This window comes from Homo sapiens, chromosome 9 (assembly GCF_000001405.40).
Source record: "Homo sapiens chromosome 9, GRCh38.p14 Primary Assembly".
Lineage (NCBI taxonomy): Eukaryota > Metazoa > Chordata > Mammalia > Primates > Hominidae > Homo > Homo sapiens.
In genome coordinates, this window is record NC_000009.12 from 114,891,512 (window position 1) to 114,908,593 (window position 17,082).

At 42.2% G+C, this 17,082-nt stretch overlaps 1 protein-coding gene across 2 annotated transcripts in view, besides 3 other annotated features; it reads right to left on the reverse strand.

Annotated features, from left to right (window-relative positions):
• Nucleotides 1-1,831: 1,831 nt before the first annotated feature.
• TNFSF8 (TNF superfamily member 8) overlaps nt 1,832-17,082 on the reverse strand; it is a 37,253-nt gene continuing 22,002 nt past the window's right edge. The window contains exons 3-5 of one of the 2 annotated variants that reach the window (NM_001252290.1): nt 14,317-14,388; nt 12,716-12,814; nt 1,832-2,653 (exon numbers count right to left, since the gene is read on the reverse strand). In NM_001252290.1, the coding sequence (NP_001239219.1) occupies nt 2,568-2,653; nt 12,716-12,814; nt 14,317-14,388 (257 nt within the window). In that variant the 3' untranslated portion in view covers nt 1,832-2,567. Of the gene's footprint in view, nt 2,654-9,633; nt 12,815-14,316; nt 14,389-17,082 lie in introns of those variants that run through there. The other variant, NM_001244.4, reaches the window with a different exon arrangement.
• Nucleotides 2,327-3,526: an enhancer, noted in NCBI's record as "P300/CBP strongly-dependent group 1 enhancer chr9:117656118-117657317 (GRCh37/hg19 assembly coordinates)". NCBI's record gives its function as "activates an origin of replication core promoter dependent on BRD2, BRD4, P300/CBP, MED14 and CDK7 cofactors, with strong dependence on P300/CBP, by STARR-seq in HCT116 cells {active_cell/tissue: HCT116}" and the evidence as "EXISTENCE:reporter gene assay evidence [ECO:0000049][PMID:35650434]".
• Nucleotides 15,835-16,457: an enhancer, noted in NCBI's record as "H3K27ac hESC enhancer chr9:117669626-117670248 (GRCh37/hg19 assembly coordinates)". NCBI's record gives its function as "activates a minimal SCP1, AML or CMV promoter by ChIP-STARR-seq in naive H9 embryonic stem cells {active_cell/tissue: H9 hESC(naive)}" and the evidence as "EXISTENCE:reporter gene assay evidence [ECO:0000049][PMID:30033119]".
• Nucleotides 16,458-17,079: an enhancer, noted in NCBI's record as "NANOG-H3K27ac hESC enhancer chr9:117670249-117670870 (GRCh37/hg19 assembly coordinates)". NCBI's record gives its function as "activates a minimal SCP1, AML or CMV promoter by ChIP-STARR-seq in naive H9 embryonic stem cells {active_cell/tissue: H9 hESC(naive)}" and the evidence as "EXISTENCE:reporter gene assay evidence [ECO:0000049][PMID:30033119]".

Genomic DNA, 17,082 nt, shown 5'->3' on the forward strand with positions numbered 1-17,082 from the left:
GTACTATTCAGCAATAAAAAAGAACGAGATTCTGTCATTTGTAACAACATGGATGGAACTGAAGATCATTATGTTAAATGAAATAAGACAGGCACAGAAAGACACACATCACATGTTATCACTTATTTGTGGGGTCTAAAAGTCAAGACAATTGAATTCACAGACATAGAGAGTAGAAGGATGGTTACCAGCTGCTGGGAAGAGTAGTGAGGGGCTGAAAGGTAGGTGGGGAATAGTTAATGAGTAAAAAAAAGAAAAAATAGAAAGAATGAATAAGAACTACTATTTGATAGTACAACAAGGTGACTTTAGTCAGTAATAACTTACCTGTACATTTAAAAATAAACAGTATAATTGAATTGTTTGTAACTCAAAGGATATATGCTTGAGGGGATGGATACCCCATTTCCTATGATAAGCTTATTTCACATTGCATGCCTGTATCAAAACTTCTCATGTACTTCATAAATACATACACCTACTATGTACCCACAACAACTAAAAATTTTAAAAAGAGAAAATAAATATATAAATGAAATCTACTGTTAAAAAGTAAATATTTCATAAGTATCTACCATGTTAGATGAATAATAATGATACCTTGCCTTTATCAGGCATATCCCATACTTATCCACCCACAGTGTTGTGGTTTGGCCCTGTGTTTGAGCAGAGAGCAAACTCATAGGATACCTGTGAATATTAAAATTATGTCTGATAGTATATTTTCAGAAGTCTGGGTAATTCAGTCTAGAGAATAGCTATATATGAGGTTTTGTGATTTATTAGAATCCACTTAAGTTCCCTTTTTTCATATCCTTCTTTTTTTATTTTTATTTTTTATTTTAGATGGAGTTTCGCTGTTGTTGTCTGGGCTGGAGTGCAATGGCGCAATCTCGCCTCACTTCACTGCATCCTCTGCCTCCTGGGTTCAAGTGATTCTCCTGCCTCAGCCTCCCAAGTAGCTGGGATTACAGGCGTGTGCCACCATGCTTTGCTAATTTTGTATTTTTTTTTTTTTAGTAGAGATGAGGTTTCACCATGTTGGTCAGGCTAGTCTCAAACTCCTGACCTCAAGTGATCCACCTGCCTCGGCCTCCTAAAGTGCTGGGATTACAGATGTGAGCCACTGTGCCCGGCCTCATATCCTTTTAAGGCACCATCTGGTCTCTTCTAAACTCCCTTGAGTGGTTGATTGAAGGAAAACATCTAAGAACAAATAATTTTCTTGGAACAGTACATTCTAAGTCTATATTTTAGAGACATTTTGATTAAAATTATTTTCATTATTATGAAGACATTCAAATCCTCACATGTCTCTGGTTTACTGGTTGTAAAGAAAAAAATCCTCACATCTCTAACCTCCTTATTTTAAAACATGATCTTTTTGGAAGCTATTCCTTTCTCACTGCTTTTGGTGGATTTGCCTCTGAGGCCTTTTCTTTTTTAAGTTTACTACTTCTTCATATTGTTGGATAGATATTATCAAGTCCATGGTCAAAAATCATGCATTAGCCCATGGAATCCCTTAGCACTCAGAGGCATGTTCTATACATGATTCCAACAAAGTTGGTACTCCCCTCTCACAGCTGACAATATTGAAAAGGTCAGATAGACAGTGATCATATGGTTCTCTTTGTGGGAAAATTTATGATGTATGTGTGTGTGTGTGTTGTAAGTGTGTATATCTAAACATACCTGGAGTCACCAGCAATATATAGCAGGTCCATCAGACATTTTCTGTAAACAGCTCCTGGACTCTGGGGCAGCTACTCAACTCTGCCATCACAGCATAAAACCAGCCATAGACTGTACATAAATGAATGAATGTGGCTGTGTTCCAATAAAACTTTATTTACAAAAGTAGGCAGAGTCGCCTGAGGTTGTAGTTTAGTGATCTCAGAATATAGTATAGTTCTAGACAAGAAATCAGAATACCAGGTGCTCCCACTCTCAGTTCTGCTTCTTCCCAGTTGAGTACACAGCTTAGTTCTCTCTTGTACTATTTGAAAGAATAGTGGTGTAAACTTTAAAGCACTATGCAGACATCTAAGATGGTATTCATTTAATCTTTCATTTAATCAAGAAATATATATCAAATGCCTGCTGTGTCAAAAACTTTCCTAGAACAACAAAGTGATTGTAGATAAGAATGAGTCACCTAAACATTGGAAAAGGTACCAATAATGGGCTGTTGCATGATTGTCAGGTTGGGGTCATAGGGTAAGATGACAGCCTGAGAGGTGGGAGTGGGGTTTTCCCCTGAAGGGAATTGATGTTCACACAGTCATACATTTTGGGAAGTGATTAATTCTGGGAAGGAAATGAGTTGGCACTTTGAGTAGGGGGTGGTCAGACTTTTTTCTCTCTCTGGGGCCAGGAAGTATTGGGCCACGATTCCAAATCATGGACAGGTCTAGATGATTCTGTTTGTGGGGGGTGAACCGTTTCCTGGCTATGTCGGTTTAGGCCCAGAGTGACTGGTACCATCAAGTTCATGACTTTCCACTTAGCAGTGACAGTGACCCAGGGTAGAAGCAGTTCTTGTCTGCAGCAACCAGCATCAAGGTTCAGGGTTGTAGAGTTTCAAGGCAGCAGTGTCCCTTCCCAGAGTCCAGGGTAGAGTGTGAATGGTGGAGGATCATGCCACAGTAATCTGGAAGAAAGAATAACTTTACTTTGTAGATATCGGCAGGAGAGATGTGATACATTTTGACGTTGTTGTTACTCAGAAGCCCACAGTTTAGCAGGGAGGCAAATGTACAATCATGCTGTCATAGTGAGTGTAGTAAATTTTTAGACAGAAGTGAGAATATCAAGGTCCAGGTTGCATGTCTAATTTAGCGGAATGGTTCTTGAGCAATAATGTCTGAGTTGAAATTTTATGAATGAGGTCAAATTAACAAGATGTGAATGAAGGGCAAGGACCTTGTGGACAAAGGAATCAGCAGGCACCAGGTCAAGTAGCCTCAGGGTAGTGCAGTGTAGTGTGGTTAGAAATATAGCTCTGGAGCCAAACTGCAGTGGTTACATCTTAGCTCTTCAGCTCATGAGCTGCTGAAACTTAGACATACTTAAGCATTTCTTCGAGCCTCTGTTTCCTCATCTGCAACATGGGAATGGTCATCTCTATCTCATAAGGGTGAGATGCAGTAGACTACAGTATTTGAAGGCTTCCATGTGGTGCCTGAAACCTGGCAAGCAAGCGTTCAGTAAGTGATAGTAATTATATCTATTTACGTAACATAAAGCGGTTTAAGTAAACACATCAAAGTAATGAATGAGGAGGATGAAAAGACCAGATGCAATTGAGGACTGTGTGAGTGTATGAATGTAATGTTGGTGGTAGAAATGAAGCCTCCTTCAGTGTTTTCTTGCTGTTTACTCATCCCATTGTATTGATCCTGTGATGGATTGTGACCTTTCTTCCCTTGAGTACTGTGCCATGCGCTGACTGCATCAGGCCAGCTGGTAAAATGAGACTCATTGTGAGAACGGAAGGCATAGTCAGAATGTCAAGGAGGTTAGGTCATCTGCGTCCCTAGCAATGGAAAGGAAATGATGAAATACTTCAGCTGGTTTTTGTTTGGAGCCTCCTGGTTGTGAAGGAGGATCAGCCTTCAAATCAGCTTGTTCCTGACTAGTTTAGCTGATATCCCTGCCTGGTAATTCCCTCTTCCTGTTGCAAGTGAAATCTAAACATTTCCTGAGTGCTGACTTTGTGTAGGACACTGATTTGGGTGCTGGGATTTGGAGATGGATTCTTCTTGTCTTCTAAGTGCTCATTTCTAAGTGAGAAAAGTGTTCATTTGCAGTGCAATCAGTGCTGCTTCTAGAGAGGCACAGGGAGAGGACCTTGATACTGCATCTCGCAAACAGTCAGTTGGTTATCTAGTCCAGTTTTCCCTGCAGGATGAAACCATCCTTTGAGAGTTGGCCTGACAGAGACCTTTGTTGATCCAATGGCTGGCTTTTCTGAATGCAGATGGGAATAGGCTTCAGTGGATTTGAGGAACTTTCACTTTTCTCAAACTTGCATTGATTCATTTTTTCCTACTCCTCTCCCCAAGGTCTAACTCCTTCACAGACACTGAATATGATAAAATACCCCAAGAGTTGTACACTTTCCAAGCTTATTCTATGTGTTTGTTCTCCCAACAGCTTCCCATTGTACAGCTGAGAAAATTTAAGTTTACAAAGTCCATGTGACTTGCCAAGGTCATAGAGTTAGTAATTGCTTCAGCTCAGATTGAAACTGGCTTCCAGTTGCCAAGGCCACTATTCTTTCCCATCTGCCACCCTCAGACTTGTTTTTTTCTCTTTCCTTGGCTATAGGGAAAGTACAGCCCCCATAGAAGTTTCTAAACTGCATCCAAAGCTTTCAACATGTTGTCCAGATTATTCCTAGTGTTGCCCAATATTCCCAAGGGAGACAGTTGGATCAAAAGCAGTTGTTAAAAATTCAGTGGTGATCATTACAAATGAATACCATCACGTTGACTTGATGGTTTTGTAGTGTTTAGACCCTCACATTTGCATAAGCAGCAGACAAGGAAGACCAAGCCAATTCATGAAAGTCCACTTGGGGGAAACAGAGAAACATAACGGATTACCAGCAATCTTCTCCACTTACCAGAAAAAGTCAACCAACTAGTGTTCTTCAGATTGTAAGGTGCACCTGAATCTCTTGGATCATATTAAAATGCAGATTCTGTTCCAGTTTTTAGGTATGTATGAGATGCCTGCATTTTTAACAAGCTCTCTGGTGATACCAGGCACCAGGACATAACAGCAAAGATTTAAACCACTGACTCTTAATATTTGGCTTAAATTTGGGAGCTTAAAATAATCCTGATGCCTGGGTTCTAAATCCAGAGATTCTAATTTAATTGCTCTAGGAAGTGGCCTGGGATTTCAGGATTCTAAGGTATACCAAGGTTTGATTTAAACTTTCTAGTGTATTTCAAAATATCTAGAAGAGAGGATTTTGAATGTTCTCACCTCAAAGAAATAACTGTTTAAAGTAAGGGATATGTTCACTATTGCACAATGTATACATGTATTGAAATATCACACTGTGCTACCTAAATATGTACACTATTTTTGTGTCAATCAAAAATAAAATAAAACTTAAAAAACTTTCTAAGGTTAATCTCACTATTTCTAATCACAAAATGACTAGAATAGCATATAGATATCTCAGAGATAGGAAGGGTGATGGATTCTACAGCAAATATACCACACCTTGCTCAGAAAAGGGGTTCAATAAAGTAAGCAAAGATTTATTTTTTTTTCCTTCCATGTTCTCAGATGGCACAGGTAGATTCTGCTTTCTAAAAATTTCACCTTTCTCTAATAGGCATTCTTATCTCCTGAGCCCTGAAAATTCTTTTTTTCTTTCTTTTTTTTTGAGATTGAGTTTCACTCTTGTTGCCCAGGCTGGAGTTGCAGTGGTGCAATCTCGGCTCACTGCAACCTCCTTCTCCTGGGTTCAAGCGATTCTCCTGCCTCAGCCTCCCGAGTAGCTGGGATTACAGGCATGTGCCACCACGCCTGGCTAATTTTGATTTTTAGTAGAGACGGGGTTTCTCCATGTTGGTCAGGCTGGTCTCGAACCCCTGACCTCAAGTGATCCACCCACCTTGCCCTCCCAAAGTGCTGGCATTACAGGCATAAGCCACTGTCCCCGGCCTGAAAATTATTTCTAAGAAAAATAGAGGCTTTCAATGAACATTTCCATATTTTGAAAAGAACTGTTTTTTTTTTTCTTTTGTTTTGGTATGGCTTGATATCTTTTCCTTAAAACGGACTTATGTTTAAAGTGGTTTTCTTTGATTATTCATTTAAGAAATATGTATTGAATGGCCATCTACTATGTCCTAGGAATTGGGCTGGGCTGTGATTACCCAGTGCTAAATAAGATTGGTAGGGTTCCTGCCTTCTGGGAATTTGAATGTTGGAGAGGAATGATAGAGAGAACCAGGGGTGAAGGGTAAAGTGTCATGCAATTAACGATGGGGAAGCATGGAAGGTGACAGCAAGGCATTAAGTGAAGCCAGCAGAGTCAGGAAGACTTCTCTGAGGAGGTGACATTGAAATGGAAATCAGAACAATGATAGGAGTTAATCAGGCAAAAGAGTGTGACAGGAGTATCCTAGGCAGAAGGAAAATTATCTGCAAGCTTCTGGTGGCTAGGCAGAGCATGGAAGATTGGAGGAACTGGAAGGAGTGCAATGTGATTTGATCATAGAGCACAAGGAGGTGGGGCTGAGCACAAAACTAGAGAGACATTCAGGAGATAGATAGGGAGAGACCTGGTGGAAAGAGCTTAGAGTTTAGGAAGGCTATGTTCATAGTGACTGGAGCGTGGAATGTGGAGTTAGGCAAACTTGGTCTTAAATCCCAACTCTACCGTCCATTGACTGTGACATTGGCCATGCTCCTCAACATCGCAGACTCTCAATGTCCTTATATAAAGAATGGGGATAATGATGCCTATTTTTTTTTTTTTTGAGGAAGAGTCTTGTTCTGTTGCCCAGGCTGGAGTGCAGTGACATGATCTCAGCTCACTGCAACCTCTGCCTCCTGGGTTCACACAATTCTCCTGCCTCAGCCTCCCAAGTAGCTGTGATTACAGGCGCACACCACCATGCCCAGCTAATTTTTTGTATTTTTAGTAGAGACAAGGTTTCACTATGTTGGCCAGACTGGTCTCGAACTCCTGATCTCATGATCCGCCCGCCTCGACCTCCCAAAGTGCTGGGATTACAGGCCTGAGCCACCGTGCCTGGCTCAATGATGCCTATTTCGTTGGATTGCTTTGAAGATTAAATAAGTGAGTGCAGGAAAAGTCATAACATGTAAGAGCTTGATAAATGGTTATTATCACTATCAATTCCAAGAACAATCGGGAGATGCTATTGCTGTCTGGAGATGGGATTTATAAGGAGTAAGACTGGAGGCAGTGCTGTGAGTTAGGAGGTATTGAGAGTGGTGGCTGGAACTAGGAAACTGGAGGAATTAGTTGGGTGTTAATTGAGTAGGAAGTGAGAAGAAGGATATTCAGAGACTGAGATAGTCCTTGAGATTTGGAATGTAGGAATAGTGTTAAGTTCAGGATGAGTATGGTGGGGTTGGTTTGTACATAATGGTGAGGTCAGTTTGTACATGTTGTTATTATATTCATGAGGAATCAGTTGCAGAGAACAGACTTCGCGTTAGCTTGTTTGGCAGGAAGGGGTTTATCACAGGGTGTTAAATGGCTTGTAGAATTGTCAGGAGGTCTGAGGAAACAGAATCGAGATTGAGCTTTCAGGAGAAACCTATAATGCGACTCCTAGGAACTGGGCTGCTATAGTAGCTGCTGTCTCTTCAATAATCTTGCAATCAGGAAGCCTGCCCCTCTAGAACCACAAAACTGCTGCCGCGAACAGGAAACCACTACAATCAGGAAGCCGCTACTGCTGCCGGGCTCCAGAACCAGTGCACATCTGCAACAGACTACATCAGCAGAACGGATGCTTCTCCCCCACCACCTAGGCTCACCCCAACTACTAAGCTCGTATTTGAACATGAAAACCTCTGCAAACGAAGCTGCAGAAAAACCAAACACCTCCACAGCTGTCCTTGCTAGCTGGATGGACAAACATTCCAAAATTCTGTCCATTTCAGACTAAATAATACTAGAGCCTGAGCTGCAAAAGAATAAGGAAAGTATATTTTTAGCATTCCAACATGTGGAGCAGGAGAAGGCACACTAGAATAGTATTTTGGAAATGTGGGTTGTGACTTAAGAGAGCATCATAAAATCAATTCAGGTCTTCACAGTAAGTTATTATTTTTTTTTTTTTTTCTTAGTCCTCGTTGGCAACATGACCTTTCTTCTTCTGGGTCATGGTAGAAAAAAAACCTGGAAAGTCATTATACTATACATTGAGTGACAATCTTCCATCGCAGAGTTTCAGGGGAGAATTGTGAGAAGAGCCCATGAGGAATACAGACATTTGATCTTGGGGGAGAAATCTTCTGGAGCTGTGCTTGTCCTTCATGCTTTCTGGTGTTTGTTTACTCTCCAGGAAGAGAGCTAGATCCAGGGAAGCCCCAGAGTGCATTGAAAGGCATGTTTCAAACCTATGCTAATGAGGGCTGATTTCGCAGTGGCTTGGCAGAGCTGTAGCACATACCATGTTGGATTGTAAACTGACCTGGCACTCACTGGCACTTGGGATATGTGTGTTGAATGAATGTACAGAGCAGAGAAGTACTTAGAAAGTATGGAAGGAGCCATTCAGATTCCAGAGACTAAGCTCCAGGTCATGAGCTCTGATCACAGAGGTGTCTAAACCCTCGCTAGCCATGGTTAACTCAGTGTCTTTGTGACACCATTTATAATTTTCCAAGAGTATTTTTGCTGTATAGAAAAATGGCAACTAGGGGTGGGAGGTGTGCAAGAAGAAGATGTGCTTATTGTAGCTTTGTGTGTAACAGCAAAAACCTAAAAGCAAATTAAATGTTCTTGCATAGAAGAATGGACAAACTATGGTATATTCAAACAATTAAATATATAGTAGTTACTCTACAATAACTCTACTATCTAATTCCTTCTCAGAATCTCCAGTCACATAAAGGATGGCTCAGAGAATAGCCTAGTGCCCTAAGAGGTTTTGATGTGGACAAGAACTAAAAGGAGGAAGTGCTGAGGGAAGCTGGCAGAATCTGTCAGACAAGGGAGCCTCCCACAATTCCAGGAATACCACTTATTCTGGGATGGAAGGGACAAACCCTTAAATTAAGAGGATGGAGAAGTCAGCCTGTATCATCTCTAGAACACTCCTGAGAGATCTGCCAGGCTTGATGGAAGTCCCATTGGTTGGAAGCCCAGCAGGGAGCAGACACTTGCGAAGTCCTCGAGTGTGGTTAGTGAGAGAGCTGGCATTTGAGCCCAGTCTCATATTCCAATCTCCATTATTTCCCACCAGCCTTGATAGGGCCTCCTATAGCCTTTCTGCAATTCCTCAGGTCACGTCTTTCCAACCTTACTTTGGACAGTCCCCACATTTGGAGGTTTCCTCTGCTCTTCCCTGCTCTCGCCCCGGTCACTCTGGGATGGTGATTTGAATGTGAGACACAGGTGGTCTCTATCCTCTATAGACTCAGTACATGGTCAATATATGATTCAGAAAAGGGTTAGAGGCCAGGTGTGGTTGCTCACGCCTGTAATCCTAGCTCTTTGAGAGGCCATGGTGGGCAGATTGCTTGAGGTCAGGAGTTCGAGATCAGCCTGGCCAACATGGTGAAATCCCGTCTCTACTAAAAACGCAAAAATCAGCTGGGTGTGGTGGTGCGTGCCTGTAGTCCCAGCTACTCAGGAGGCTGAGGTAGGAGGATCACTTGAACCCAGGAAGGGGAGGCTGCAGTGAGCCAAGATAGCACCACTCCACTCCAGTTTGGATGACTCTACATTGACTTGTTATGTTTTTGTGAGCTCACTTACCATCTTCCTCTACAAGTTCTGCAAGTACACTGAGTGTGTGTGTGTGTGTGTGTGGTGGGGAGGTGGGGTTCAGAGGGTAGGAGCAAGGGAAGGAGCTCAAGTTGAGTTTTTACCAAAGAGGCATATGTTTTAGGTAGCCTGAGTTCCCAGTTAGATAAATTATTTATTTTACTTGCATAGATATCATTTTACTCATGGAGTATCATTTGCTCATAACATTCCCAGGGGCTGGTTAACCCTCAAGAGTAACAGAATTTAGTTTTAAACTTCCTGGGTTGCCTACTCCCTACATATCTATCAGTTGAGTTATTAATGATTATTCTCTTTTTTTGTTTGTTTGGTTACATTATTCATTTAAATGATGTACCCCTTGTGTCTTTAGGTGTTGGCTTTCTTAGCATTGCTTGACAGAGACTGAGATTAGAAACCACTCACAGTGCAAAAGTCAGGTACCTCTGCTCAGAGAACAGTTGGTGAAAAATGAAAATGGAATCTTTCTCGAGTTAGAATGTGAGATGGCAAAAAAATTGCTTAGTTAACACACAGTTGGGTTGCATATACCTTTTCAAGAATGCATGAGTTGGTTTAAGCAAGATTCATTTGTCCTATGCAGTTAGTGTGTGACTCAAATGCCAGCCATTTCCCTGTTTTTTTAGCCTTGAGTCTCAAAGTCTGTTTTGTTTTTTACCACAGACCATTTGGCTTGCTGAATTCAACACCTCTTCCAATGCCTGCTTCTCCCAAAGAATCTACTCACAGAAAGAGTTAAAGAGAAATGTAGACTTTACTAAATATTTCATAGAGGAGACCTAGGAGGAGGTTGACACAGCACACTGCTCAGCAGATGACTTAAAATTTTCCCTTAGCCATTTTTGTTCTCTCAAGTCCCTTTCATCCATACCACCACTGCTGATTTGTTCTTTCTTTTTTTCTTTTAAATCTTTTCTAGCTTTCCTTCTGACAAACTTTGCTGGAGTCCTACTCCTTTTCTCTCCTTCTTGAGAAAAATGCAAATTTTGCTCCATGTTTTGGTATAGCAGGGAAGCTTCCATCTTTTTTTACTGAAGCATAACATCAGGGCCTACATTCCATCTCAAACGGCTTGTCAAGGTCCTTCCACAAATAAGATGTTCCTCCAAAGATGATGTACAGATGCCAAGTTGGATATAGCTAGAGAAATCTCATGGCTACCCCAATCAGGAGAGAGGTTGCTGTTTCTCAGAAGTCCTCCTCCCCACTTCCAGGGTCATCATTGTCTCTCAACAACTTTGTGGGGATATAAAAACCCTCGCGGAACTGGTTTTCTGAGAGGTGTTTGAAGCAGGAATATATTATGCAGGGGATGGAGCAGCCATTCCCTGGCTAGATGACCACATCACTGTTGCACACTGATTGTTTGCTAAAGGCACAATGCTTTCCTGACCAGAAATGAAAAATGCCTGCTGCTCAATTATTGTCAATCTAACTGGAATAGAGTCAGGCCTCGTCAGATGGTTTCCCAAACACCCAGATGGTCTCTTAGATTCTGGATGGTCAGTGTGGTAGTTCTTTCCATTACATCCTTGAGATCCTGCTGTTCACACCATTCAGCAGGGCACCCTGAACCTTGTCCCCATATTCTGGCTCTGCTGAGATGAGATGCAGTCAGGTGTTACTAGTGTCTTCAATTATATACTGGGGTAGGGGGGCCTTATTTTGGTTGGAGAGCTTCCAAAATTGTGTCTGGAATCTCAGTTCCCAGGGTCTGGTCTTCTGAGATGGAAGAGGTTTTGAAGCAATTCAAACCCAGTCCTTTCATTTTCTAGACTTGGATCCTGAGTTCCAGGGAGGGGAAGGTATAGTGAATTCTTATAATTTTATGTTGCCTTGGCAACCATTTTGTATACAAGTTTAATTTCTCATACCAGAAGCCGGGCTTAGTCACCCTTGATATGGGTTTCTGGTTCTATACCACACCTCTGGCCAGAGACAAGAACTTAGAGGCATCTTTCCTGCCTAGCAGACTGGATTCCCCACTTCTCTGTTGCTTCCTTCAGACAGACCATTCAGGCATTTGCCAGTGAATTGAGAGTGACCACACCCTATTTCTTTACCTACATTGTTAACTGTCTTGCTGTCTCTGTCTGACTTCTTATTCCTGCCTCATGTAACCTAGAGAAGGAGGACTGCCCTTCAGACTCATTATGCCCTTTCTGTCCAGGATCTGTAAGTAAAAGTCTTTGAACTTGTTTTCCATTGTGGTGGTGTATTAAATTTGTGCTTTCCATCTCAGGAACAGGGGGCTGTCCCAGCCTGGTTTTCCCTGGGGGTTCCTAGGGGTGGGGTCATATGGAGTACAAGATCAGCCTCCTAGTGCCAGAGTGACAGTCAGACAGGCATAAACTGGGCATGGTTCAGTCACAAGTGTATCTGCCAGTATAGGGAAGTTTCCTGTGTGAGAGAGTCCTTGATCGCGACTTGGACAACTAAGTATTAGGCCATCTGCAGATAAAAGAAGTATCCCGTGAAGGGCACAGTGTAAACACTCACACCCAGCTCCCCTTCATTTCCCATTAGGGCAGAGTTGCTAGCTGCTCTGGTACTGGAGCCCCATTTTAACTGGAGGCTCTCAAAACAGAAGAAATAGATCAAGACCATACAGTGAATTAGAGGTTGGGCTGGGACATCCATTCATCCCTTCTGATTCTGTGTGGGGCTCTGCCCACCACACTACATTGCTTCCCTGCCTGCTATCTGAAAGATACTTCACTAAAAACTCTCTTTTTAACCCTGGAGCTGTATCTTTCCAAGAGACAGAAGGAGAAGTATACTATTTAATACCCTGTGTAGTTTGTCTTGGTCTAAAGTTTTCTTTTTGCCCAAGTGTTTGGAGGGATGAAATACTGTATGGTAGAGAGGCGCTTTCTTCCTGAAGGCCAAGAGAAACTGTTCAGTCTGAATTACTGTATAAGAAGATGGACAACACATTCTCAAGAGGAAAGGTGCTTGTATCTATGTACTGGAATGTATCCACATTGACTGATATGGTGGTGTTGACCTGCAGGTAATCCAGCAAGAATTGAGAGAGATTCTGGTATACGTGTTTCGTTTGCATTCCAGACTCACACACTGTCACCAGGGCCTGTTTTTTGATATGCTTGTTGATGAGAAGCTCCAACTTCAGATCGACAGAATTATTTGGGCATTGTACAAGAAACTGCAGTTGGCAAATGATGAAGTACAAACCAGGGAATTGGATCACCAGATTCCCATCCTGATATCTGACTCCATGGAGAATGCCATCTTTGTTCCAAGACAACTTGGTTTTGTTTAGATGCTTTGCCACTAGAAAGAGAAGTATAGAAAACAGAATTATTGAGAAGATTGTAGGTACGCATTGCAAAATTCTAAGTCTTTGTTCAAAGTTTCCCATTCAAGACCCATGTTTTCTGTAATGTTCCAATCATCTGAATATCTTCCATGTTACTCCCTCTAGAGTCTACTTATTACTCAAGGCACAGGTATAAAACCACCCCTCTTCCTTTTCTTCAATGCTGAAAGCTGGAGGTTCAGAACACACATGGTACTTTACTTCTACCTCCTATAGAATGGTTTTCCACTGAATCATTATCATATTATATTATTCTATGATGAATATGATGAACTTTCCCTTTTCAGACTATAAGCTCCTGGACTCTGTTCTCCACAAGATTGGAACTATTATGTTCATTTATCATGAATGGTCATTGCAAAAGGTATCAGAGATAGGAAATTCAATAATATTGAGTTTGATAGGCATTGCAGAAAGTACAAGGTAGGACATTCAATAATATTATTCAGTTAATATCCAATTTAGGTTTGAAGATGTCCAGGAGAATCGCCATTAATTTTCACATTAAGATGTATCCTCTAACGGTTCATTGTCTGAATTTTTGAATGCCTTTTTCCCTTCAAAGGGCAGCCAAAAATAATTGTGCAGGTCCCCCATGTGCTTATTAAGGGGCTCTTGCCATCTGGGATTTATTGAAAAGCAGAGAATTAGCAGACCCTCTAAGCTGACAAGTTTGTGTTGGAAGGTGAGTCTCTAAGTCCTAACACGTGAAAATTAGCACTGACTGGTAAGGGTGACTTTCAGGGCCAGGAAGCTGGCATGCTAGTTTTAATTGCTTCCATGCTTTCCCTTTAAACCTCGTTGCAATTCAACTGAAGAGTGAGAACTAATCTAACTGCAAAATTGAATTTTTAAAATGAGCAGGATGGCTATTCAGAGAATCTTGGCCATCTCTTTCTCACTCTGCAGTCTAAAGTGCCTCTTATTGCTTCATTTGTAAGGGGCCTCTTACCTGAAGCACACTGCAATATGCAAATCGGCCCTGTGCTGACATGTTCATTAAGCTGTCAATCTGGGGACAAGGCAATTTTATGGTTCCCTTGTGAATAACTTCATAGAGGCAGAGATTAAGTGCCTGCCTCCCTTGCATTAGGAAAAGGACTGTGTACTTTGCTGAAATTGGTAGGTAGCTGAATAAGGAGGGGTGAGGGGTGAGGGGTGGGGCTGGTGGTGGCAGTGGTGGTGGGGACCATGAATGCCCACAGAGGCCAGGTAGGCAACATAAAGGAGTGAATGGGACTGAGGAAAGAGAAGCCTTGTAGCTTTGGAGAATGACGCTCTCCCCGCTAAGACATTCAAATTCAAATTACAAAAAAATTTCCTGCAGACTAAACAGTACACATCTGCAGGTCACATTTGGCCATGGGACTCTAATTATGACTTCTGGCTTAAAAGTTGCTGAAAAGCCACAGAAGCGGTTTTCATATGTTTAGGTTTCCTGGGCTTGGTTACTGACCTTGGAGGTAGGCCCATGACTTCTTGAATGGAGCCCTTTTCAGGATACATAAGAGGTCTTCTGAGCAATTTCCTAAAAATAAGGAGACGATGCATTAAAATGTCTTTTGCCGTTTTGGGATCTGGAAATACCTGATCTTTTTCTACAACACTTTGATGGAGACAATTACCGTTCTGTTTTCCATTTTCAGAATAAGGAGAAAAGCTCTTTATTTCTCATTTTGCCATCAGGTATTTTAGGATTTTAATTTTTTAAATTTATTTTTATTGATTGCTTCCACTTGGACTTTTATGGAAGACTGTGGAAATCAGGGAAGGAAACAAATATGACATCCATTCCTATAATGTGTCAGGGGCCATTTTTTGGCACTATACGTATTTCATCTCCTTAATCTTTGCAGCAACTCTGTGAGAGGGGTATTATTAAGCCCCTTTTACAGATGGGAAAAAAATCTGGGGGCCACGCAGGTGAAATACATTGTTTCGTGGTGCCTTGCCAGGCAGTGGTAGTGAGAATGATAATACTGATAGTAAATACTGTCAACTTATCTACCACACACCAGAAACTAGTCTGGGTACTTTTACAGCTGGGTAATATATCAGCTAATCTAGTTCTCAGACTAATCCTGCAGGGTTAACTTTGATGCCTAGAGGTGGTCAATACCATCGCCTAAGTTCAGACAAGTTTGTGTAAATGCTGGAATTGCCCATGGCTAATTCCAGAGGCCAGGTTTCCTGTTCTAGGCTATTTTGCTAGACAACGAAGATAAAAACATCTTGGTGTTCAATTTTAAGAGGACACAGGGTTAAAGAAATCTTAACAGAAGTCCTGCTATTTGGAGCTTCCTTGGCAGAGGCAAACATAATATTATGTTATTATGGTATTTAAGAAATAAAAATATTTTTCATATATTCACTAGTGATGGTGGCTTAGCTTTTTTTTATTACAGTAACTACTTAATATTTTGTATGCAAAGATTCAAGTTATACATTTCCTGCAATGACACTTGAATTCAACTTATTCAGAGCTAATCTCTTCTTTGATCCTTGGTTTCCCCATGTGTAAAACTGGACAATCTTTGACCTGACATGGACATCTTCTCAAAGATGTCACCAGAGATGACCATGTAGTCCATCCATCAGACGGTAGGCAGCCAACGGCCCATTCAATGGAGCAGCCACACCCTGGGATATTTGCTCACTGCATTGCCGAGTAGTACCTGCTGGGCTCACAACCTTTCCCATTGCAGTCTCTGCCCAGCCCTGAGAAAGTCCCTCCTGGCCATCCTCATAGCTTCATGGGGGCTTTGGAGTGGTTGAAAGTTAAATGAAGAGTTCCCTCTGCTGTCTGAACAAGCTCACTGCGAGAGGCACTCCGGGCAGAAGCAGGGGCAGTTTTCCTCCTTATCTGCTGCATCCACATAGAGCTTCTGGTCCAAAGCTCTCTTGGTGGTGAGAGCCAGTGGGTCAGCTGTCATCCCCTTGGTTTCATCCTCATGCATCCTCTGATCAGTGCTCTGGTCCTGCCTGTTGCAGCCCACAGCCCACACTCTTGGGGTTTGTAGTCAGAACCCCAACACTAATGGCTGCTTATGCTCCTAATGGACTGTGACTATGGTTAGAGAGTCCTCCTGGCGTAGCCTCCTACTCTAAGCTGCAGAACATCAAGCCAGGGAGACAGACCTGGCTGTCTGTTTGCATGGAAGCCCTTTCTGACTCCTTTCGCCTGCAGGATCAGGCCCAAGCTCCTCAGCATGGCTTTCATGGTCCCCATTGTTCTGACTCCTACTGAACTCTCTGGTCTCACCCCTCACCTTCCCTCCTCCCCTTTCCCTTTATGTTCCAATAGTAATAATAACGAGGAGGAACAGTGATAATAATATGAATGGTCATAACTAATACATGTTGAGTGATAGCCATTTTCCAGGTACTCTGCTAAGTATGCTACATGCATTATTTCATTTAATTCTCACAATAACACGATAAGAGAGGTACCATAATTAAGTCTATCTTGTACATAAGGAAATGGACCCTTTTAAAGGTTAACTGACTTGTTCACATTCACACAGGTAGTCAGGGGTGGAGTAGAGATCCAAACTCAGGCTGCCTGACCGCTGCCCGAATGGATTCCTGACTGCTGTCCGGGAGTTTGGGGCTTTGCAGTCCCCCTAAACATACCATTTAGGAATGTTGATTTATCATTACACCTTGGCACTTGCTGGGCTCTCTACCTGGACTGCCTCCTTCACCAGGCAAGTTTTTCCTTGTTTGAAACACAGCCTAGCAGTCAGCTCCTCCAGGATACTTCCTTTGCCTATTTGCCCATTCTATCAGACAGTGAACCCTCAGGGCAGAGACTCCTGTTTATAAACCCCCACTGCCCAGTCTAGCAGATGCTCTGTAAATATTTGTTGAATTGAATCACCTAGTTCATCTTTCTTGTTTCCCTCTGTGGATACAGAGTAAGTACTTAGGACAACAGTGAGGTGAATCAGGACGCTTGGCTTGCCTTTTGCCTGAGGGCTAGAATAACACAGGGCCTCATTCTCCCACTGGCATTGCAGGTCAGGCTAGATTAGATGGGAAGATAAGATTCATGCCTTGGGCTGAGGCCAGCACAAAACATCAAGAACAGGCTCTGCTCATTGGCCGAAAGCCCTCTTACACTGTTCTCCTTACCCCTTATGGCAGGTGAGCCTCTGTAAACAGGTGGCTGGAGAAGTGCAAGCCCAGGCTTGCCTCTCACACGTTCTGGTTCTTTTGTTGT